General features: G+C 40.5%; 1 long non-coding RNA gene across 1 annotated transcript; it reads left to right on the top strand.

Annotated features, from left to right (window-relative positions):
- The first annotated feature begins 907 nt into the window (after window positions 1-907).
- LOC105378995 (uncharacterized) lies at window positions 908-10404 on the top strand. The gene is made up of 5 exons (XR_948369.1): window positions 908-1158; window positions 3850-4071; window positions 8235-8314; window positions 9407-9598; window positions 10267-10404. It is a non-coding gene; the product is annotated as an uncharacterized LOC105378995 (long non-coding RNA).
- Window positions 10405-25218: the final 14814 nt, after the last annotated feature.

Genomic DNA, 25218 nt, shown 5'->3' with positions numbered 1-25218 from the left:
ATCTCACACCAGTCAGAATGGCTATTATTAAAACGTCTAAAAACAACAGATGTTGGCAAGGATACGGAGAAAGGGGAACGCTTATATACTGTTAGTGGGAAAGTAAATTAGTACAACTTTTATGAAAAACAGTATGGATAGTCCTCAAAGAACTAAAAATAGTACTAACTGCCCTTCAATTCAGCAACTTCACTACTGGCTATCTACCCAAAGGAAAAGAAATCATTATATCAAAAAGATACCTGCACTCGCATATTTATTGCAGTTCTATTTACAATAGCAAAGGTATGGAATCAACCTAAATGTCCATCAATAGAAGACTGGATAAAGAACGTGTGGTATGTATACATCATGGAATACTACTCAGCCATTAAAAACAAAGAATGAAATTATGTCTTTCGCAGCAACATGGATGGAACTGAAGCCATTATCTTCAAGGAAATAACACAGAAACAGAAAGCCAAATACTGCATGTTCTCACTTATAAGCGGGAGCTAAACAATAAGTATACATGGATATGCAGAGTGGAATAATAGACGTTCGAGACTCCAAGAGGTGGGGCGGTAGGAGGAGGGTGAGGGTTGAAAAATGACCTATTGGATACAATCTTCACTATTCAGGGGATGAACACACTAAAAGGCCAGGCTTCATGACACAATATATGCATCAAAGAAACCTGCACTTGTACCCCTAAAATATATTTAAAAAATAAAAAAAAGCCACAGTATGGAGCCTGGAGCCTGAAGCTTGAAAGTGGTGAGTCAGCCTAAAGAGTGTGAGAATCGGGAGTTCCAGATCCTAATTCCATCACTCCCGCTAAGCTCGACATTGTTATTTCGACCGCTGGGCAAGCTCCCTGAGCCTCCATTTTTGCCTCCCTGGACCTCCATTTCCTCACCTTTATAATTGAGAGTTTAGAGGAGGTCCTCTATGAAGTTCTATCCTGTGCTAAGATTCCCATGGCACACCTATTGGGACACGTTCTTTCTCAGAACATTTCTGCCACCCGGAATCTCATGAAGCAATGAGACTCAATTCCCCATAACGACAACAATCAGCATTCCCACTTCTCCAAAGCATATGGTACTATGGATGCCTGCCAGGGAGTTCTGTGAACGGAAGTGAGGCATGAATGAACATCACCAGCCAACATGTTAGGTTTGTCCTTCTTGCTGTTCTTATTACTGAGTATCTACACTGGGTTTGGGAGACGGTCCCTTTTACTGATTATTTCAAGAACATGGTCTCTGTCTTCGTGGAGTTAATTACTTCAGTTCCTCCCTTTACTTCATGACCCATCAGTTGCTCGGCCTGCTTTTTGGCATTTTCTATATCTCAGGACCTCTCTGTATTTAGTATACTAATGAAAAAAATTAAGGCTTCAAATAGAGAAAAAAATAAGTTCTGGTGTCTCATGATGCCCTTGTTAGTTAGAGAAGGGTCAAGTGAAGACCTATTTCATATGTGCAAGATAATTGTCAAGTGAAGTGAGGAGGAAAGGATAAGAAGACATTTTTATTTTGATTTTAATTGGCTTCTCTGTTCTTTCTCAGTTCCCTCCAACCCCGACCCAATTTCACCTTTCATCATAAAGCTCAAGGCCTTGTTGGAATGGGGGAGGGGAAGCGGTGGGTAAGGGGAAAGAAGAATATGGCATATTAAATCTATTCCATGAACTATGTCATTTCATACATAATTCATCAGAATCCTAATATTCAAGACTGAAGCCAGACTTCCATTTTTAAAAACCCAGAGTTTTGTTTGTTTGTTTATTTCTGTCAGTTTTTCTTTTTTGCCATTTGTAAGGTTGTGATTAATTTTATTTTTGTCTCTTGGTCACAAAACCCTGTGCCCCTCAAAAATTGCTCTATTGCCAGGCAGTGAGTACCCTAGGCTGGAGGGAAGCCAAGCACCGCTACCACCAGCCAGGCTGGCAGGAGTGCAGGAATGTGGCTTGGGGAGTCCACCTCCTGCTTTCTCTGTCCTTTCTGCCCCAGGAGGGAAAGGGCTGAGGAGAGGAAAGGTGGGGGCCCATTGCAGAGTTTGCCAAAGCTTCACAAGGACTTAGAGTACAAGTGTGTCCAGAAGAAATTTCTTTCCGAGGGGAGAAGAGTAAAGTAGGTGGGAAAATGTTGATCTGTGATGACAACCTGTAGAGGTGTGAAGAAGTTTTTATTAATGATGCAAGTTGCAGACAGTCCTGCCAGCTACAAACAAGGTTCAGCAAGGGCTGTTGTCATAATAGCCACTGTAGGGGGCTGACAGTTCAGGAAAGGAGCATACACCGGCTCAGGGGCTTATGCTCAGTCACATGAGACTACAGCACTTGCAGTAGTTACGTTGGGAGTGGGTGGTGATTTGATCCACATCAAGTAATCAGGCTCTTGTATAATGGTGGGGGAGGAGCACAGGTAGCATATTTCCATTTCTATAGTAATGAATGACTGTGAAATATGCACCAGCTTATAGACCGATAAAACAAACTGTGTGAGGTCTATGTGGTGACCCTCAGAGAACTGTGGCTGCATGTCCATGATCTCCAAATACGCTGAACTGAAAAAAAGAAAAATCAAAGAAACTGGTCACTTTGCCCCAGTGGGTTAAAAATTGGTCTGGTTTCTTTTTAGTTACTTAACTGATGTTGGATCACTGAATTAATGAATCTGGTCTCTGTTCTCTTTTGGTCTGACTTGGATGTAAATGTTTGGATGAGAATTCTGGGATGTATCAATTCTAGACAGTTGTTTGTATTGGGGAAGCTGAGAAATATAAAGACAGAAAAATGAAAAAGAAATAGAGATGACCAGAAGTGGGCCAAGGTAAGAATCAATGAAGGACAGTAGCAGGAAGTACCAGGACAAAATCAAAATTGTATCAAAGAGAATTTTGAAGATTCATTACTTCTAAAAAGCAACTTACACCACAGTCGCAGGTGTCTTATAAAAATATTTTGAATTTCTTATGACTTACACAGAATATTTAATAAATGCACACTTTAATATTACCATGCACCATTTTAATTTGAAACAGGTTTGTGGAGGTTTAATAGGATATTCACTTTGAGTGGGTGGGGTGGACAAATGTGATAAAAAGAACGATTTACCTGAGATCTGAGAAAGACCCGTGGGAAAGGTACTTTACTGGGTAGGATTAATCATCCTCTAAAATTTCAAGTTCATTTACATATATTTCTGAGAGACACTGAGCCACATTCTTTCCTCAGAAGCACCATTTGTTCAGTTTGCTGACACCAGATGCTATAAGGCTATTGTTGTGACGGTTCTTAAACCCATTCTGTTTGGGTAGAACATCCTTTGAAAGTTTCTTATACCTGCTTTTCTCGTGTACAATGAGGAAAATTCATTTCCTTCCTGTTGAGCAAAGTTAACGATTATGTTCCATTATATTAAAATATTATCCATTGTTATGACTTCAGTTTATTGTTCCTGCTGAAATCGCCATGTGTTGCAGAGTCAGCAATGCCAAGACCCAGGCACTCGTGTGTCAGTTCAGAGTTTCTCTTTAAAAATAGTTTTTTTCAGATGAGTTATGACAAAAAAATGGCAAATCACAATTTCAGGGGAATTAATAGGTAATTACATACTTAAAAATCATTTTTAGCTTGAAAATCCAAATTTTTAACAATGTTGTATCCAGAACATAATTATAACTGCCACATTGAATCTCTGAACCAGAAATAAGAGCCTTCCTTTAAGATATAATAAATACTTTAAGTATTAGGACAATGTTTCTCTTTCAAGAGGGATGAAAAGTAGAATTATAGGCTACCACTATATTCTAATTCCATGAATGGTTCACTTTTTAAAACTTTTTTTTATCCTTTTCAAGGGTTCATTATTTGTGTCCAAAGAAGACAAGGAAAGATCAGGACGTGGACTGAAAAACCAGAGTAGGCTCAGAAGATTCAAAAGCTCGAATCAGGAGGTGGTGTTTTTCCTGGTATTTTGGCAGATGTAACAGCACCAGAACCAGAATGCGGGCAATGTGAAGGAGATTGTAGCAGGAGCAAAGAAAGGAAGGGAGAAAAGAAGATGGAATCCTCTTCTTTTTGTGAGTTTCTTTTTGGGAGAAGAGAGAATAGCCTGGAATTCATTCAGGCAGCTCCACTGAGGCAAATCCATTATCAGTTCAATTCCCTTCAGAACTAGTTCACAAGGGCTGCCATAAAAAAAATACCATAGACCGGTGGCTTAATCAACAGGAATGCATTTTTTTCACAGTTCTGGAGGCTGGGAGTCCAAGACCAAGGCGCCGGCAGGGTTGGTTTTGTTTCCTCTGCTGAGGCCTCTTTCTTTGGCTGGCAGACGGCCATCCTCTTGCTCCCTCTTCATACAGTCATCCCTCTGTGTACACGTGCCCTGGCATCTCTCCTCCTTAAAAGGACACCAGTCGTATTGGATTAGGGTCCATCTTAATAGCCTCGGTTTAACTTAATCACCTTTCTGAAGACCCTGTACTCAAATACAGTCACATGAATTAGCCCCCAGCCATGTGACCTCATTTTATCTTAATTACCTCTTTAAAGACAGTATCTCCAAATATAGTCACATTCTGAGGTGTTAGGGGTTGAGACTGCAACATACGGATTTTGGAGGGACAAGTTCATCCCACAACACCTTCCAAATTTTTTTTTAACTTGAAAACAGGTGATGTATCTGTGGTAGACAGATGATGACCGTCTCCTAAGCCTTAGATATAAGGAAGAGTAAAAGGAGGTGAAAGTTAGCTCCCTTGGGATATTCAAGGCACTGAAAACTGTGAGGGCCCAATTTTATTTTGTTTGAACTGTTTTTTAAATTTGTTAGTGAAAATTCCAGATATGCACAAAGTAGACAGAATAGTACAGTAAGCCCCCTTATGTTCATCCACCAGATTCAACAATTGTTGTGGCTTTGATCCTCTTGCTGAATCCATTTTCTCTCTCTTTTTTTTCTCTCTCTCTCTTGCCGAAGTGTTTTAAAGCTAATCTTGGGTATTGTGTCATCTTACCCTGCATCTCTTAAATAAAGGTATTTAAGTATGCATCTTTTAAAATATAAACACTCTCTTACATAACCATGATGCCATCATCATGCCTATCAAAGTTGACAATAATTTCTTGCTTGTTTTATTCCCAATTCAAATTTCCCTCCTCTCAAAAAAAAATATATATGTATATATACGTATATAGTTGATAATGTGAAACAAGATCCAAACAAGATTATTATTACATTTAGTTGTTAGTAGACTATTTATTTTGGGGAAAAAACATTGTTTCATTGCAGAGAGTGCATCATTTAGAACATCCTATAGGGTTATTTACTTTTACTTGGAAATTGCCCTAAATACCAGAAACAAACTCTCTATCCGATGGAGTGGGCCTGGATGGAATTGCTTCTCCCATAATGCCTTGGATGCTGTCTGTTTACCTGGATAGTGGTCAGCCTAACTAAACAGGAAATTATACTTGCTTTCTGTTTAAATAATATCTTGGTTTCTATAAGTAGTCATTATATTTGATTCTATAAGATTTCATTATACTTTAGATAACATTTCTCATGGAAAACACAGAAGCAGCAGACATCTTTAGATATTCTGGTTGCTTCAAGGTTATCCACATATTACCTGGAATTCAGCTGCCTCCCACCCCGACCTTTGGGATAACAAGATAAACTTGATTCACAGCCAGTTCCATCACCCGTTAATGTCCAAAGTTCTTGCTGTGGTTTCTGCAACTGTCCAGGGCCAATATCCCTATGGGGTCCTCCTCTCTGATGCTTGCAATCATGTATGCTACCTCTATTTCATCTACAGCAGCCAGACACTAACCTTAGCTCCTTCAGGGGGTTCCACAAACCTCCATTCACACCCAGCATTTTGTGAGCTTTGTCACTTTATTTAAGAATGGGAGGGCAGGACCATGTAGAGTGGCTCACCTCACACAGAGTACACGATTTTACCACTTGCTGGTCTCTCTCTTGCCGCCTCCCACCGCCATTTCCCCTCACTCTCTTTCTTTCCTCTCCCTTTTAAGAGTGTGACAAATTCCTCTCCTTACCTCATGCAGAGCAGTTTAATAATAACTTTTTAAACTTGAATATACTCTTGGGTTTCACCCTCCACCCCAAATGACTTGCTGAAGTATTTCTTTATCCAGATATATTCAGGGCTCTCTTTCAGAGGAATTCTGGTTAATGCAATTTTCTCTACCTCATTTTAAGTATGTAACAGTCAGCCCCTATTTCTGCTCCAGCCCCCAGATTCATCCTACACATACAGAAGAGTGTGCTGGGGGCATCTCCCCGAATTCCTTCATGTAACAGAGCAGGGACCAGGAATGCTACTTATCTGGTGCAGCCACAGCTGCCCAGAAAACAGCAACAGGGTTGTGCAAAGTGATGCCACCCACACTAGAAGACTCTTAAATTTTGTTGAAATACAACACTACCTGGGTGCAAAAGCTTAGCAATTTTCCCATATGCAACTCTTATCGCCCACAGGGCAAACCTATGGCTAAAGTCAGACTATTTAAACCTGCCTCTTCCTGACACCCAAATTTCCTCAACTTGCAGACAGTATTCCTGCAGCCAAGGAATTCTCCCTTGCCACAGAGAAAAAAAAAATCCCTGAATATTTTCATTTCATCCAATTCAGCAGATCACAAAGGATAAATAGGCACACTCTCTTTGAACTTGGCTTCAGGAGTGTGTCCATCAATCCAAGCAATCCAGGCTGCCAGAGACTGCAGAATCCATCAACCTAGGACCCAATTCCAGCCTGGTATCTTGAATCTGCTTACAATTCTTTTTTTCCCCACTTGAGAAGAGGTGATCAGTGTTTTCTGTTGTTGTTGTTTTAGTTTTATTTTTCTTCATGTCCCTCTATCACTTTCCTTAGCCTCCAGTCCTCTTAAACTTGTACACCCCTCCCTAGGACTCAAATACCAGATGGTATTCTATTATTTGACAAAAGCTCTCCAAATGAGTGAAGATATTGACTCTGAGTGTGGGTGCACTCAAACTATGCAATATTTCCAACTCAGCCAAGTGCCTAAAGTGTAGAAATGCACCTCCTGGAACAGACACATGCACGCAGTGATTCCTGCAAGATGCCAACATTCTCATCAGAAGCCACAGGGTCACAAACCCCTGATGTGCAGTCCTTGAAGTAAAATAATCATAACATCTTAATTTTTCCTTTCTGAACCACTGAGTCAGCCATTTTGATTAGTTTTCAGAACTTTTTGTAAAGAAAATACATCTACTCTCTGACCAAGCATTCCCCTGGGTCTGTTTGCAAAAGGATATTCTAATGGGTACAATATTTGAATGCTACCGCATTTCCACTATACCTGCCTCGTTATATTACATGAATCTATCTGTTCTTGGTTTGGAAATGTGTTTATTGTGAAGCCTGGTAATTCTCAGGTGAGAATAGTAGATTTATAAAGTGTGCCCCGCCTCTTGTCTGCTCTCTCCTAAGGCCACGACCCCAAAAGATCAGTGACTAAAACGTGTTTTGATGTCATCTCTGAAATTCTGCTTTTTTAAGAATGTTTTATAATGAAACCTTGGAAATAGCATGCAGAGATTTCGCTCCTGACATACCCCAGAAGGTCACATGCTCGAATTCTGCTTAAAGGGACACTAATCATATTCAGTGTGTGAGTAGAGAGGTTTACAGTTGGAGATGACACCATCATTTGCATATGATGTAAAAATGAAGGACCATTAATTTTATAGCATTAATTGAAGAGCAGAAGTGTTAGACCTCTATAATTATCTTCAGTGAATACATTTCAAAGAGATCTTCACAAATGAGGCTTGTGTGTGTGGATGTGTGAGGGTACAGATAAAAAGAGCAAAGTGAAAGTTCCACTTTGTCCCCCCTCAAGATGCACAGATCGGCATATGGTTAAGTTAAAAGCTTAACTTAAATCTGAATTGCTTCCTCTGTGTGGAAACAAGACATGTGATTTCTAGACTCCCAGGAGGATATTCTGCCCAGACGGGGGGGTCTGGACTGCTTGCCACACACTTCAGAACCACTGAGATAGAGAACAGGGGAGGAATCTCGGGAAGGTGGGCAGTGTCCCCTCGTGTCCTCCCAACACCCCATCCTCCCATCTCTAGCACCCCCGGCAGGACCTGGCACTCCCCTTGGTCCTGATTTTATCCTCCTAGAATGTTCTTCCTACAGTCTAAATTTACTGGTCCTATATTTTGTTCCCACAGGCCAAACTCTCAGCTAAACGGCTATAGATCCAAGGAGATCATTCTGCAATGTTAGTCACCTTAGTGTTTTGCAGTCCAAGGTCAGCATGGAAAGTAGAATTTCTAACGATTTATACAGAAGATCATAAGCATTATTTGAGTGGCTTACTAATTTTGTAGCCAAAAAAAAAATCAAAGTAGAATAAGGGGGAGTGGGGGTATGGTGGAGTTTTTTTGTTTTGTTTTGTTTTGTTTATCGTGTGTGTGTGTGTGTGTGTGTGTGTGTGTGTGTGTGTGTGTGTGTGGTTTGGGGAAGGGGTTATATAGGCAAGAAACAACTAAAAAGAGAAGCCAGCTCCATGATTCTAGGCAACACAATGCCAGTGTCAAAAGCAGTGGTCACAACCATGATGGTCCATCTTCATTTCTATCTGAGCAGTGAAAGATGGACATTGGGCATAGAGAGTCTGGGCAGACAGTATGTGCAGCCCGAGGTTTAAGATCTGCTTGGGAGTTTTGGTAATTATCCTGACATGCAAGACTCCTTGCTTTAAAAAAATATGAACTACCTCTGAACCTTAAAGTCACAGATTCTCTCTGGTGTATAAAGTTTATAGGGGGAAGGTTGGGAGCCACCAGTGTAAATCAAGGAAGGCATTAGCTAATGATGCAACATGATGCAGACACTCTGTTTAAATGCTCCTGTCTCCAGGGGCCCTGCAGGAGTGACAATACTGGTGGGAACTGCAGGTACCACTACACACAGGTGGAGGAGAAACTTAGTGTAGAGGTCTTTTAAGAAAATGCTAAGGATAATTATCTAACTTTGTGAAAAGCTTCTCTAGGTGTAAGGAACTTACTCAGGATGGTGAAGGCTTCCTCTAAATTCCTATATAGCTCACTGCTCAGTTTGTCTTTCATTTCATGCTTCATTTACCTAGTTTGGTACTATACTCTTTTCTTTTTGCTACCCTCTTAAGGTAGATTTTCTATGCAATATGCTTTACATATTTAAAGTGTACAACTTGATGTGTTTGGACATATACTTGTACATACATACAGATATAAACACTTGTGAAATCAAGATACCAAACATTTCCATTACCTCCAAAAGTGTTCTTGTGTCCATTTGCAATTCTTTCTTCCCTCCACCCTGTCCCTAGTGACTACTGCTCTGTTTTCTGCCCCTGTAGGTTAGCATGCATTTTCTGGAATTCTATATAGACGGACACATTGATGCATACTCTCCTCTTGCCGGGCTTCTTTCATCCAGCTGTACCACATTCCTTGGCATTCTGCTAGAGATATTTCCCCTCCCAGGCTAGAAATAACCTCATGTGCCAAGACGATCTGTGATGTGACAAGATATGTATGTTGTAGATAAGGTAAACATTGAGTTTTGTACGTAATTTTTTTCTGAGATGTTCAAGGAATTCTGTAATAGGAGACTCCACCATATTGGTAATAAAAGGAAGTTTTTATTTTTTGGAAAATGCACTAATTTGTGTAGCTTTTTCTTCTTCTGAAATTGAAATTCCAAGGATTTAAGGGAGTTTTCTTCAAAACAATTCACACACCAGGGTGACTTCATTTCTTTACTTCAATAAAGTGGCCTGTCGGCTTTTTGTGTGGAATGTAAACCAAGTTGATACAGATGGGAGTGGGAATGATTTACTTCACGCTTGTTTTCATGGAAGAACTGGAAATAGCAAGTGCAGGGAATTAGACTCAGTGACCTCTAGGCCCTCCGTCTTCCGTGTCTCCATCTCAGAGGGTGAACGACTCACCAAAGGTCACCACGGAAGCCACACATGATGCTGAAGTCTGCTTAGGTATTTCAGGTAAGACTCCCTCCATTGCAAGTGTCAGACACATAACAAAAGGTAATGAAAGCCAAAAATAATGACCAATAAACCTAAGAAATTTAGTGGCTGAAGCAGCTAAAACTCATTCCTGGGGTGGGATAGACTAGACACAGGAGCTTGAACATAGCAGCACTCAGACTCTCACTGGCTCCCAGCTCTGACTTTCTCTATGTTGATTTTACTCTCAGGAAGCTCTCTCTGTTCCATGTATACATCCCACTGCTTCAAGCACAGGAGTTTCTCAACCCAGTGTCCCAACTGAAGACTATGATTTAATGCATTGGCGGGTTGTGTGACCATCACCAGAGCAGGAGGATGGAACGTGCTGGTCGGTCAGTGCCTTGTTGTGTACTCACCCATGGCTGTAGGCAGGGAGGGACTGATAGTCCCACCAACCACATGACTGATGTGAGGAGAATTCCCCCAGTGACAGAGAAACACCATTACAAAACAAAGGGGAGTGGATGCTGAGCACAGGGCAAAAGGTGCTCACTTGAGTTGTTTTCTTACATCTTTGTATAAAATTGCCATGGCTCCCTTAGAAAACTACAGGAAATCCTGGAGCATCCCATTGTCTCTATTCACACTTTCATTCTTCTCTTATGCATGGACATGTGACCAGAATTTAAAAGATTATAAGCAAGATTATTCTACATTTCCAAGATTGGTATACCATGATCTTTCACTCAAGGATGTCGAAGATCCTAATCAAAGTGAGATAACACTGCAGTGGGAATTTGTATATTAGAGTCTTGGGCACTTGGCTTCCTTAGGACTCACTCGCTTCACATGTGCAATGGGAATAAATATTTCTCTGCTTTCCAGGTATGGGGATGGAGGTTCAATCAGATACTCTCTGGAAGTCTTGCCTTTCTCTGATTGTGTTCATGATTTCACATGTGCTGGCAGGTTGATATAATAGATTACTCAAAATTAAACAATTTCACTCTAATGAAAAGTGGGAGATGGCCACATATGAAGTGGACATTATTCGTGCTTTGAACATCTTTCATATACTACTGCACTTTCCCACTTGTGACTTCTGCCATTTCCTAAACAGAAGCTGGAAGTTGTGTTTCCGAACTTTCCCTGCAATCTAGGGCACAGTTATATGACCAGGACCTAGAATCAAACATACGTTTGTGAGATTTAAGCTTAGAAAAGGTGATGTGAAGAAAGAAATGTTGAATAGATTCTACATTGGAGAGAGTGATGGAGAAGTGGTCATCTTTCAGAAGAAGGGTGTTAAAGGTTCCAGCACGGGTGTCCTGTGTCCGTATCAACCAGGCAAACTATAATACTGCGCTAGCAGCAGGAACAGGAGAGTCTCCACTGGAGCAGGCTTGTGGTATCACCTAGATATTGTTTCTAGTTCCACTGGTTCTCTGTCTAATCTTCTGGCTCTCTGTGAACTGCTTAAGGTTTAACATATTACAAATCTGCATATATTAAAGTGGGCTGTGTTGTTTACAACTAAGAACCCCTTGACCAATACAGAAATTGATCTCAAGAGTGGTTTCAGGCCCCAGACACAAATAAATGGGCCTCTAGTATTGGTTTTCTAGGTAAGAAGGCAGTGAAAACCCCACCTAGTAGTAAAGAATGGATAGTAGTAGAGTATTTTAAATATTCTCCTGTGGTTACCTATGAAAGTCAGTCTTGGGAGATACAGTGGCATGAGGAATTTAAACAATATGAATGACATGAATAATTCAAGGGTTACTTCTGACTGCACTGGAGAGTTTGAATTCCCAGCTTAGGGCATGGTCAGGGATAGAGGGACCACCTAATGCTATGATAAACCATCCCTTTCAGGTACATAGCTAAAGCCTGAGTTTCATCCTGATGGAGTTGCCAAATTACAATGTCAGTGGAAATTATAGCCTTATCAAGTCTTTTATGTCAGAGTTAGGGCTTTAATATAAAAGAAAGGGACCTTGAGAATTGAAATTGAGGACATATAAGAAGCTTTCAGTGATTTGGAAAATTCTGAATATTGTTATTGGTCCTAGTCCATTACCAAGAAGGAAGTAGACTTGCAGAATGGTGAAAATATTTATTGAAACCTCAGTAGTTGTTATGCCAGCTGGAAGACAACACCTTATGAGTTTGGTGTTGTGTTTAAGATGTGGTGCATTTCTCTGAACCATGCAAAATTTATGCTACTATTTGCTTTTCTATAATCAAAGTGCATGGAATTCAGAACAAAAGGGTGAAAGCAGGAGGGGTACTTCTCAATATTACATCTAATGGCCCTATTCCAATATTTTGCTTTTGATCCCTGTAATTCTCAGTTCTGCCAACTTAAAGATCTTAGTGCCCAGGGGAAGAATGGTTCCACTAGGAACGCAGAATGTTTCAATTGAATTAGAAAATAAGACTTCTTCTTGTCAAGAAGAGGCTATTTTGAATTCTTCCTGCCACTGGAAAATTAAGCAATAAAGGAGTTTTCAGTGTTGACTGGGGCAATTGATTCTGATTAACAAGACAAAATAGGGTAATTTATACCATTTTATACAAGGAGTATTTCTGGAACCTGGGAGATCCTTCTGGGCACCTTTGTGTATTGCCATGTCCAGTGGTAAAGCTCAGTGGAAGACTACAGCAACCACATACAGGAAGGATCACAAAGAGATATTATCCTCCATTAATAAAGATTGTAAGAGTCACCTCATCAGGTAAAGAATCCTAGCCTGCTGACATGCTGACATGCTGACATGCTGGTTGTAAAGGCAAAAAGAGCATGGCATGTGTATTAGTCTGTTCTCACACTGCTATAAAGAACTACTTGAGACTGGGTAATTTATAAAGGAAAGAGGTTTAATTGACTCACAGCTCCACATGGCTGGGGAGACCTCAGGAAACTTACAATCATGGTGGAAGGCGAAGGGGAAGCAAGAACCTTCTTCACATGGTGGCAGGAGAGAGAAGTGTCCATGCAGGAAAAACTACCGTTTATGAAACCACCAGATCTCATGAGAACTCACTCACTATCATGTGAAAACAGCATGGTGAAAGTTCCCCCATAATCCAATCACTTCCCTCCTTTGACACGTGGGGATTACAGATCCCTCCCTCAACATGTGGGGATTACAATTGGAAATGAGATTTTGGTGGGGACACAAAGCCAAACCGTATCAGCATGTGTATTAGTCCATTCTCACACTGCTATAAAGAACTACCTGAGACTGGGTAATTTATGAAGAAAAGGGGTTTAATTGACTCACCGTTCCATAGGCTGTACAGGAAGCATGGCTGGGAGGACTCAGGAAACTTAAAATCATGGCAGAAGGGCAAAGGGGAAGCAAGCATGTTTTCACATGGCGGCAGAAGAAAGAGTGAAGGGGGATGTGCCACACACTTTTAAACCATCAGATCTCCTGAGAACTCTCTCATGAGAGTGAGAGTTCTGTATCATGAGAACAGCATGGGGGAAATCTGTCCCCATGATTCAATCACCTCCCACCAGCTCCCTCTCTCAGTATTGGGAATTACAATTCAACATGAGATTTGGGTGGGGACACAGAGCTAAACCACATTAGCATAGTTGTGGAGAAAGGATGCCATAAAAACCACCCATATCCACATGACCACTTGCAGAAACAATAGCATAAACATTTTTCTTCCTTGCTGTGTCTATATACAGACTATTCTTCTCTTTTTCCTCCTTTCTGCTTCCTTTACAGTTGTATAGGATATATGGGTAGGAACAGGGTGGTAAATAACTGCATTTTAGTGCCTGGATCACAGAACACCGAGATGGCATTGTGGCTAAACTGGAGAAGGTGGACAACTCCTGGGATAAAAAAACTGAGGAGATTTTGTCTTGCCCCTCCTTTGAGGAGAGAGCGTGCACATTTTCATTTGTACAAGAAATAATTGCATGACGTTAGGCAGAAGCATTTTGTTCTTGTGATTGTAATTGTTGAGAATTTCAGTACAGAAGAAGGTTTTTAGGGCTGTTGCACAGCCAAAAGATAAATGTGTGGGTGTGTTTTATGTTATGGATCACTATTTACCCTTTGAACAGCCTTCCAATGTTTGAGAGATCTTCCTTCTCTACCTTCTGAAGGTAGAGGTTAGACACTTGCTTTCTCAGCCTCCAGCACAGCTAGAGTCGAGCCATGGGACCAGATGTGCACCATGAGATTTCCTTTTGAAAGAGAAGGTCACGAAGAAGGTGATGCCACGACGAGTACATTCTCGTCAGGTGGCAGACAGGCATGCAGCTCAGGGGCAGCGTGGTCAGAGGTCCTGGCCATGGTATCTTAGGACAAGCAGGCGGGGAGGCAATGGTATCTGACCCATGCAGCAGTCCGGCAGTGCAGCTGGGGCGCAGTTTCTATCTTTAGACCCTCCTAGCTTGATTCTATGGCTTCCTAGAAATTCCCTGAGCCACCAAAAATTCTTTACCAAACTGCCTTTCCTGCTTCAATTAGATTAGGTCGGTTTGTTGTTTGCAACTAGTGATATACTCACTGATATTCAGAGAAGCTTTTCCTGCCTATAGCAGCCAGTCCTAAAGAGCATGAAGAAACAAATCTTCTTTTTCTGTAGATGTCATATCCCAGTTGTTCCTGGCTCAAAACTGGGAATACACATCAGGTAAAGGGAAGTGGTTCAACATACAATCCTTTACACAAAGGGACGTTAGCGCAGCTGCGGTTTGCTTAGAAAACTTAAAAGTGGCCCATAAAGGGAAAGCCCATCTGTTTAGGGACACTAAATCTGCTTGTAGTTCACAGGATATCACACACCCAAAACAGGGACTCTAACTGCGAAAACTAATTCTATAGACAAATTGTATTTGCCCCTTACGGCAGCCTAGTGGGATGCATTGTGTGTGCAGGAGACTGTTTATTGGATTAGTTGGTGGCTGTTATATGTTAACAGGTTTGCAAAGTAGTTTTACTAAATCTAAGTTTCATACTAGCACTGAAGAAAATCCTGAAACAGCTTATCCCAAAAGAACACAATGCATTTTCATTACAAAACTCAAGAAAAGTCCTTTAAAGGTACCTCAAGATTGCTAGCCAAGAAGAATGTTTCACAAGCAAGAATTCAAAGCCTGCTGAATTAAGTTGTTGCCTATCAGGCATTCATAACAATTGTGACTTATTATAACTTGTGTTGAGAACAAGAACTGGATAGGTGTTGGTAAAGTTGTCCCCCTCCCTCCAAACTCATGTCATCCTGGTTTACTGAACTAAAAATGATGAGAATTATCAAAAGGATAGTTTGCTCCCTGACTACTCATGCATCCCAACTATCTTTCCTTTATAGCCCATTTTAATACGAGTGCCCAATATCCCCCTGCTTTGCTGATACCATATGGTGTTGATGTAGGTTTATTTTGGTGCTGTGTTATCTGGGGAAATAAAAATTGACTGGGGAGTTAGGCAAGCTCTTATCTCCTGCTGGCTTCTTTGCTTGCTTATGCTGCACTTTAAGTAAATCACTCAACCCCTGAGCCTCCGTTTTCCCATTTAGAGAATGGGATCAGTGATGTCTACTTTGCAGGCTCTAGAGAAGCCAGAAAAGGCAAGGTTCTGTTGTTTCCTGGGAGGCTAGGAGCTGTTGAATGTAAATGCAGTAGGGGTGTTTGTGAGAAGGTAGCAACTGCCTGCAAAAGAAAGATATTGGCTTTCCCTAGACTCATTAGTCAGAGAACTGAAAAGCAAGTACCTCCTTTTTTCACATTCCCCTCCAGAGAATTTCCTGTTATTTCCCTGGTATTAATTGATGGTGGGCACCCAAATTCTGAATTCTCAAAGGAAGAAAGTGCTTCTACTCTTGACATTTCTAATGTTCGTTTTTCATTTCTTTTGTTTGTTTCTTCAGGGGAGGTAAGAAAGAGGGAATGAGGCTTTTTGGGTTAATTGTGTGGATTACTAAGTGTGTGCATGGAACAGTCAGGCTAAGCTTCACCAGCTTGTTTTCTCTGCAGAGCTTTCCTTGCAGGAGACGTTTTGGGCAAGAGATGGAGAACTCATTCCTGAGTCAGGCTCTTCTTCCTGACAAGTTTGCATAGGGGGCATGATGCTATTTGTATTAGAGTGAAGGCTAAATTTCTGTAACAGACCCAACCATACGGTGTCCTACTGAGAAAGGTCTTTCTCTCTTAGGTGACAGTCCTGACAGGAGCGAGGGTGGCAGCCAGCTCTTCTCCAGTCTTTTCGAGACCTGTGTTCCTTCCACCTTAGTGCTCTGTCATCCCAAGTGCTATCACTTAGTTCAATGTAGGACGCAGGTACTTTAATGTGGTGGAATGTTTGGGTGAAGCATCCAAATTAAGAGCATCTCGGGCGTAACAACAATCCAGTGCTCCTCTAAACAGTGCTGGGCCACTTCTTTTCAGTTTTCCAACTTGCATTGACTGCAAGAGCAAGATGATCTTGCAAAAATACTCAACAGCATTGGGCCTGCACCAGCATGACTGTTTTATCATGTCTCCTTGAGACTCCTATTTTCATGGGAGCAGAAACTGTTCCCAAGTGATTCCAGTGATGTCTGGCTCCTCTTACGGAGGGGGAGCTTGGGCAGCTGCCCTTCAGATCCAGTTCTGCCCACCGTCCACAGCCCTGTCCCTTAACCCAACTCCCTGGAGACCTGAAAATGAGTACATGATTCCTGCCACAAGGGGCTCTGGCTCTAGTGGGTGACACTCCACCTACAGGTGAAGGGTGGACACCACACCTGGTAAGAAGTACTCTCTGTGGGGGCAGAAAGAGAGCTCTAAGCACATAGAGGAAAGGCCTTTCCTTAGGAAAGAGTGACAAAGTTTCTGAAAGAGAAGGGAGGTCTCATCTGACTGTAAGTTGGCCATGTAAAGACTGAGGGCAGAGAGAAGAGTTTCGGGCAGAGAGGGAGTAACACTCACAAAGCAGTGAAAGAAAGTACAGCAGATCCTGAAAGTAACACAGAATGACTGAAGTGAAGAAGACAAAGGGAGAGCTGATGAGAACTGAAGCTGGAGAAATGATTAAGGGCCAGTTCCTAATGAGCACTCATTTTCCATCTAAGGAGTTTAGACCTGACCTGGTGGCAAGAGAGACCATTAAAGAATTTTCTGAAGTGTATATTATGAACCCATTTGTGTTATAGAAAGATCACCCACAGCCATAAGGAAAGGATGTTCCTAAATGTGTGGTCTCACATCCATCAGCACCAGATTCACCTGGAGTATCCATCAAAATGGCAGAATCCCGATCCTCATCTTATGTGTGCTGAATCAGAATCCCAAAGAGTGAGACCCATGAGACTCATGTGTAAGATGTTCTCCAAGTGATTCTGATGCCTACTAGATACTTAAATGTCAGTGATGGCTGAGGGTCAGATGGGACAACCAGTCCTAGGGACACAAAAAGAAACTAATATGGTGGCAGATACTGATAGGAAGGGTGGGAGAATCTTTAATCCTTGGCATGGGGGAATTAAGAATCTCTGACTCTTTGAGAAAACTTTGATCCTAGAAAACAATTGCTGTGATTCCTTCCCCATAGAAGCAAACACAGAAAAGTCTGGTAGGTGAAGATAAGAAATAGCTCTCCCTCCTCTGAGTGGGCAATGAACACTCAAGGAGCTGGTTCACAGGATGTGGCTGTGATGGGACACCTGCTTTAAAACAGATTACACTTCAGGCGAAAAGTCTGCCTCCGGGAGCACTGATTGGTGGGTTCCAGCAATATGCTGCACCTTCTGGCATTTTTTATTTGTTTGTCTTTTAACTAAGTAAACTCAATATTCATCCTATGGCTTAGGAAGTTGACACTGACAAGGACGGAGACATTTTGATTGGTACATCTGCAGTCTGCCTGCACCAAAGAAAGGTCAAAATGTTCCTCTTAGCTGGCCAGGCTTGGAATCAGTAAGCAGCTTCTGCAGGATTTGAAGGCATCGTGCATTAGGACTACTGAAGCTTGAACGAGTGGAGTCATAAGAGCATTCATTATGCTCTCCTGTGGCAGAAATCATCATCACCTGCCTTTCTGCTGGGGCAATTGTTTTCATTTTTATGTATTTTCCCCTTAGGTGGGTTGTTTTAGCATCCGTGCTGTAATTTTCCTTGGCTGGAAACCCAAAGCCAGTGGGAGACAGACCAGAAATAGATCCTAATCTTCTCACCCCCAGCCTACCATGCCAAAACTGCCCAGCTGCCTCATACCACGAGTGACCTTTTTCTGAAAAATGGGAGGCCAGAGACAACAGGGAGGCTTGCCAGAATATAGCTCTGCCCTCTATATAATATTCACCACACTCAGAACCTGTTTTGACCTAAGAAAATTCTATTGGGTCCTGTACTAGTTAGGGCAATGTTAGTTGTTATAAAATATAAATAAATGAATAAATAAAACCCCAAATTGCAGTGATTTTATGCAATGGAAGTTTCTTATTCATGTAACAGTTCAGTGCAGGTGTTCTTGGTTGGCAATTGATGGGGTAGGGGGAGGGCTCTACTTCAAGCAGTCACTTAAAGATTCAGAATAACAGAGGCTCTGCTGCCCTCAAATCTTGGCTTCCAAGTTCACCCCGGGCATTCTCCAGCCAGCAGAAAGGGAAATGTGGAGGATAGAGTACGGACTTTTTGAAGTTCAGACCTGGAAGTGGTACACATCCCTTCTTCTACACCCCACTGCAACGAAAACAGTTCCATGGCCACACCAAATTAAAGGGATATTGGAAAAGATAGGAGAAACAAGTTATGGTGAACAAATAAGAAATTCCTAGCAATCTGTAGACCAAGATGGGGAAGCTTCCAAGAATAGTCGTGGCAAAAGCCAGGGAACTCTGGCAAGGGCCTCTCTTCATTTATTACTGGCCATTTCTAATTCATTCATGCACTATCTATTCTACAAGAATCTATTAAGCTCTTATTGTATATAAAATACTGTGCTAAATGCTTCAAGGGTATTTGAGGCATACTAGACTTGGTCTCTACCCTCAAGGAATTCACAGAATAATGGGAGAGATAGTCAGAAGCAATACCAAACAATGAAGTAAATGCTGTTTTAGAGAAGTGTATAAACAATTACACAAGCATATAGCAAGAAGGTTCCCCTAGGTGAGCCTTCAGGGATAATGAAAGAGCTCTCCGGATTGAAAAGGAAGGAAAGGGTGATTTCACATAGGGAGTAGCATTGGCAAAGGCACAGAGTTACGAAGGCACAGAGAATATTTAGAAAATGGAATTTGGCGTTCATAATGGGTAAAGCATATGGTGAGGAAAGAGAAATGCCAGGGAGGCAAAAATGGAATGATGGACTAGTACTGGGTTTTGAAAAACTTTGTAAGCCTGAAAATATTTATGGCATTTGCCCCTAAGCCCATGATTCTCCCTTTCTCTAATTATAGGTTGTTTTCCTCCTAACTTTTTTTAGATACCTGGTTCAAATTTTTGTTTCATATTTGTGTAATGTCCCGTCTCTGACTATTCTGGAATAAGGCTGCAGGTATGGCTGGATTTGGGACTCAAATTATGCCATCAGGACTCAGTTTCTCTCTATCTCTAGTCTGTGCCCTCAGCTGCCTTTGCTGAGTTAGCATCTCAGGCTTTGCATGGTGGCAAGGTGACAGCAGCAGACCCCACCTCTGTATTCCCTCAGGTTCATGTACAGCAGAAAGTTTCAGCAAAGTTCTCTTGGTATATTATTGGCGTAGGGGGACTCATATCTCCATTTCTAAACCAATATTTTCTCTTCTTTTCAGCCCAGGCCTCAGACTATGCTTCACTTCAGAGCTTGAGTAGTGGGAGGATGGTTGCTCAAAAGGAAACTCAGGTCCAGTTCCCAGATCATGAGTGAATGAATACTTAGGCAAGAAAAGAAGTCCACTGCTCAAGAGTTCCACTGGACAGACTCTCCAGCCAAGCTGCACTTCTGCCAGGGCCCAAAATATGCCTTGGGCTTTTCTAACATATCAACCTTTTAATAAACCACTTCCCTTTTTGAATCCTTCCCAATTATCTCAGCTGGCCCAAATCCTATCTATCTTTTAAAATTAAGGAAAAAATCTCAAATCCAGTTTATTCTTGAAGCCTAACGGGTTCACTGCTTCCTGCAAACAATTATAACACTTCTTGTCTACACAACTCTTTAGGAAACAAATGTTCTCCACCTCCTGCAGCTAGCTAACTTTTAATGACTACAATTTTTCTATCCAGCTTGACTCTAAATTCCTTTAAGAAAACTACAATACATGTCTTTGTCTTCCCTTGATATGTAATTTTTGTTTCACTTGTTTTTCATATTTATATCCCACCTTGTTCTAAAGTGAATTTAAGGTAGCTGACAAAAATGCATATGCATCACAAAGTAGAACAAAACTAAAAATAAATGAGTGAGATTCTCTGAAGAATACACTTACTGTAAGAAGTTTGATGACTCTGAGACTGCCATGCTGTGAGGAAGCCCAAACTAATCATATGGAGAGTGAGCTGCCAGTCATCCCCTAGCTGTTTTGCCTATTCTACTTCAGGAACGATGCATACGAAGTCATTTCAGACATTCTAGCCTAGGCAAAGGCTGGAATGGAAAAGAGCAGAGGAATTCAGCCAACAGCCAGAACTTGACTCAGATACACGACCATAGCCAAGTGGTCCCCAAAATGTCCATCCATTTGAGCCACCCCTGCTGGGGTCCCAAACATTGTATATACAAGTCCCCCAATATGCCCTGATTGAATACTTAACTCACAAAATCTCATTCAAATTACTACAGTAGGCCCAGAGGGAAATGCAGAGAAGATAAGCCTTGCTTCCAACCCTCAAAGAGTATAGAAACCAGAGATCTAAAGGAATAGGAAGGGTAAGATTTACATCTAATGGCTCCAGTTCTGGATAAGATGTAGTAAGCATCTTTCTCTCACATCTATAAAAAAATGGGTAGAAAGAACTGAGGACTAGAAAAGTAAATAGGAGCAAGCATACTGGCAAGGAACACCAGAATTTATAGCATCGTATTTTTCCCACTGATATTCCTCAGATTGGATTCCATGTAGGCTGAAACCGGGAAATGGTATGCACAGACAGCTCCTGGAGCAGCAAGCTAGTTCTAGCTTGTGGAGCAGGAAAAGGCTCTCCTAACACTCAGATAGGAAGATAGTCCCCCATTTTTTTCTTGTCTCCATTTTCTTATACCCTAGCCTCCAAGGAATCTCATGGTGGCAACAGCTCAGCAGCCTATAGGAACCTAAAATCAGAGGTAGGGTTGCCTTTCTCTCTGGTCAGTGGATCTGTGACACCAGGAAGGTGTTGGAAAACTACTGTCACTTTTCTTTCCATATCTGCCTGTGAGCCACTAGTCCATGGACCTGTGCACAACTGCAAGAAGTATAATGGGAGTGGGGTAAATAAGGCCCCATTATTCTGACTAGAGAGGTGAAAAGGGGATCTGCAGGTCAATAGAAACTGCTAGGGAGATTGTATAGGGGAAGAAGCTTGGGAAATTATCTCATAAAGTTGTTTATGAACTCTGGGCTCACTCTTGAGTTGTAATATGTAGATTTGACCATAAACAGCATACCCTAAATAACCTGGGAGAACTGAATTATGAGGCAGACACCACCCAGATCTCAAATTGGCCACTGGATGGCATATATGTGAGACAAACTTAAGTGGCATTGCAAGGGCTTTGAAATCAAAACTGACACTGAAATCATACCTAAAAGAGACTATGTGGACTATGTTGCCTGACCCCAAACTTGAACATTGTTTACTAAAACAAAAATATCAACATTCTCCATAGGATTTATGTTATAAGACCCAGGGTCTAATAACAAGATACTCAAAATGTCCAGGACATAATCCAAAATTGCTCAACATACAAAAAATAGAAAAATCTCACTCAATTCACATTGGAAAGTGCAATCAATAGATGTCAATGATGAGATGATGAAGATTTTAAGCAGCTGTCATAAAAATGTTCCAACTCCCAAATGAATGAAACCTTCAGTAGCCTCAAACACATAGGAAACATAAAGAAAAAATCAAATGGAAATGATATTATTGAAAAAATTATTGACATACAAAACTCACTGAATGGACTCAAGAGAAGAATGGAATTGAAGGAGGAAAAGGTCAGTGAACTAAAATATATTACCCACTCTGAACAATGGTAATGGAAAGAAAGATTGGGATAAAAATAAACATAGACACAAAACTGTTGCATAATATTAAAAGGTGTAACATTCCTGTCATCATAGTCTCTGAAGGAGAGGAGAGAGAATATGGTAAAAAATATATATATTTGAATAAATATTTAGCTGAAAACATCAAAATTTAGTGAAAGGTATAAATCTACAGATTCAAGAGGCTCAGCAAATCCAAATAGGACAAATTTTAAAAACATGCATACCTAGTCATCTCATAATACAACCACTGAAAACGAGATACAAAAAGAAAATTTCCAGAGAGCCAGAGAAATGACGACAGATTTCTTACTGAAAACCCGAGAGGCCAGAAGGAAATGGCACAAATTTTTCAAGTGATGAAAAATATAAATACTCAACAAATAATTATATATCCAGGAAAAATGCTTCAGGAATAAATATGAAATAAAGTTATACTCAGATTAAAGAAAACTGAAAGAATTTGTTGCCAGGAGACCTACTCAAAAGAATTGCTAAAAGACATTTTTCAGAGAGAGGGGAATGATACCATAAGAAAACTTGTAACAACAGAAATGAATAAAGAGCAAAAGATGTGGTAAATATCTATGTAAATATCATAGACTATTATTCCTTTGGAGTCTTTATGTGACTATATAGACTGTATGTGACTATAATACACAAGCAACTAAATGTATAGGAGTGGAGGTAAAGGGGCCTATATGGTGGTAAGGTTTCTGTATTCCACTTAAAGTGGTAAGATATACTGATTCTAAGTAGGCTGTGAAAGGTTAAGTATTGCAATCCCTGGAGCAACCATTAAAATATTGACACAAAGAGGCCGGGCGTGTTGGCTCACACCTGTAATCCCAGCACTTTGGGAGGCTGAGGCACGTGGATCATGAGGTCAGGAGATTGAGACCATCCTGGCTAACGTGGTGAAACCCCGTCTCTACTAAAAATACAAAAAATTAGCCGGGTGTGTTGGTAGGCACCTGTAGTCCCAGTTTACTCGGGAGGCTGAGGCAGGAGAATGGCGTGAACCCAGGAGGTGGAGGTTGCAGTGAGCCGAGATTGTGCCACTGCACTCCAGCCTGGGCGACAGAGCGAGACTCTGTCTCAAAAAAAAAAAGAATTTGACACAAAGAAATATAGCCAAAAACACAGAAGATAAAATGAAGACATGTTTAAACGGCACAAATTAGGGTAGAAATGGAGAAATTACTTAAAAAATGATTTTTAAAAGAGGCCTAAGTAAAACATATAAAATAACATTAAACGTAAGTGCTCTAAAAACACCCAGAAAGGCAGAGATTATCAGAATGCATAAAAAAAGACCCAACAATATTCTGCGTACAAAAAATCCATTTTAACTATAATGATAAAGGTATGTTAAAAGGAAAAGTACAGAAAGAGAAATATTATGCACACACAAATCAAAAGACAGCTGAAAGGGCAATATTAATATCAGACAAAGTAGACTTCAAAGGAAAAAACTTACTAGAAATAAAGAGGAACATTACATAATTATAATTGATCAATTCACCAAGAAGAAATACCATCTAACTAATGTATTTGCATTTAACAACAGAGTTTCAAATTAGATTAAGCAAAAATTCACAAAACTGAAAACAGAAATAGACAAATTCAAAATCATAGTTGGAGACTTCAACACTTCTTTTTCAGTATCAACAGAACTAGTAGACATTTGATCAGCCAGGATATGGAAGAAAAGAACAGCACCATTAAGTAGGTCTGACACTTACAGACTACTCTACCAAAAACAGCAAATACAAATCTTTTCACGTGCACATGAAATGTTCATCAAAATAAATCATATCTTTTGTCATAAAGCAAATAATAAAAAATTTAAAAGAATTGAAGTCTTTAAAAGTATGGAATTAGACTCAAAATCAATAACAGAACAAGAATAGCAAATTGTTCAGTGAGAAATTAAACCACACATTTCAAAATTATTCATAATTCAAAGGGGAAATCTCAAGAATAATTGTAAAATATTTTTAACTAAATATAAATAAAAATACAACATGTCAAAATTTGTCAATGAAACAAAACATTTAAAAGGCTTTTAATACAATAAATGGTCATATTTGAAAAGAAGATCTCAAATCGCTAATCTAAATGGTTATATTGGAAAAGAAGCAAGATCTCAAATCACTAATCTAAGCTGATAATTTTTTTAAAAACTTTTAAGTTTGGGGGTACATGTGAAGATTTGTTACATAGGTAAACTCATATCACGGGAGTTTGTTGTACAGATTATTTCATCCCCCAGGTATTAAGCCCAGTACCCAACAGTTATCTTTTCTGCTCCTCTCCCTCCTCCCTCCCTTCACCCTCAAGTAGACCCCAGTGTCTGTTGTTCCCATCTTTGTGTTAGTTAAGTTCTCATCACTTAGCTCCCACTTACAATTGAGAAAATGCAGTATTTGGTTTTCTGTTCCTGAGTTAATTTGCTAAAGATAATAGCCTCCAGCTCCATCCATATTCCTGCAAAAGACATGATCTCATTATTGCTTATGGCTCCATAGTATTCCATGGTGTATATGTATCACATTTTCTTTATCCAATCTACCATTGATGGGCATTTCGATTGATTCCATGACTTTGCCATTGCGAACAGTGCTGCAATGATTATTTGCATGCATGTGTCTTTATGGTAGAATGATTTATATTCCTCTAGGTATATACCCAGTAATGGAGTTGCTGGGTCAAAAGATAGATCTGCTTTTAGCTGTTTCAGAAATAGTCACACTGCTTTCCACAATGGTTGAACTAATTTACACTCCCACCAACAGTGTGTAAATGTTCCCTTTTCTTTGTGAATTTAAAACTGTAATTCAATCCACCATACTGAAAGTCTAAAGAAGAAAAAACATATGATCATATTAATTGATGCAGACAAAGCACTTTACAAAATTAAAAAACATACAGCTAGCATCACACTCATTGGTGAAGCACTGAATGCCCTCCACTTAAGACTGGATACAAGAGAAGCGGTTCCACTTACATTACTT

This window comes from Homo sapiens, chromosome 5, assembly GCF_000001405.40.
Source record: "Homo sapiens chromosome 5, GRCh38.p14 Primary Assembly".
Lineage (NCBI taxonomy): Eukaryota > Metazoa > Chordata > Mammalia > Primates > Hominidae > Homo > Homo sapiens.
Note: the sequence above shows the minus strand (reverse complement) of the source record. Positions and strands in the feature narration are given on the sequence as shown.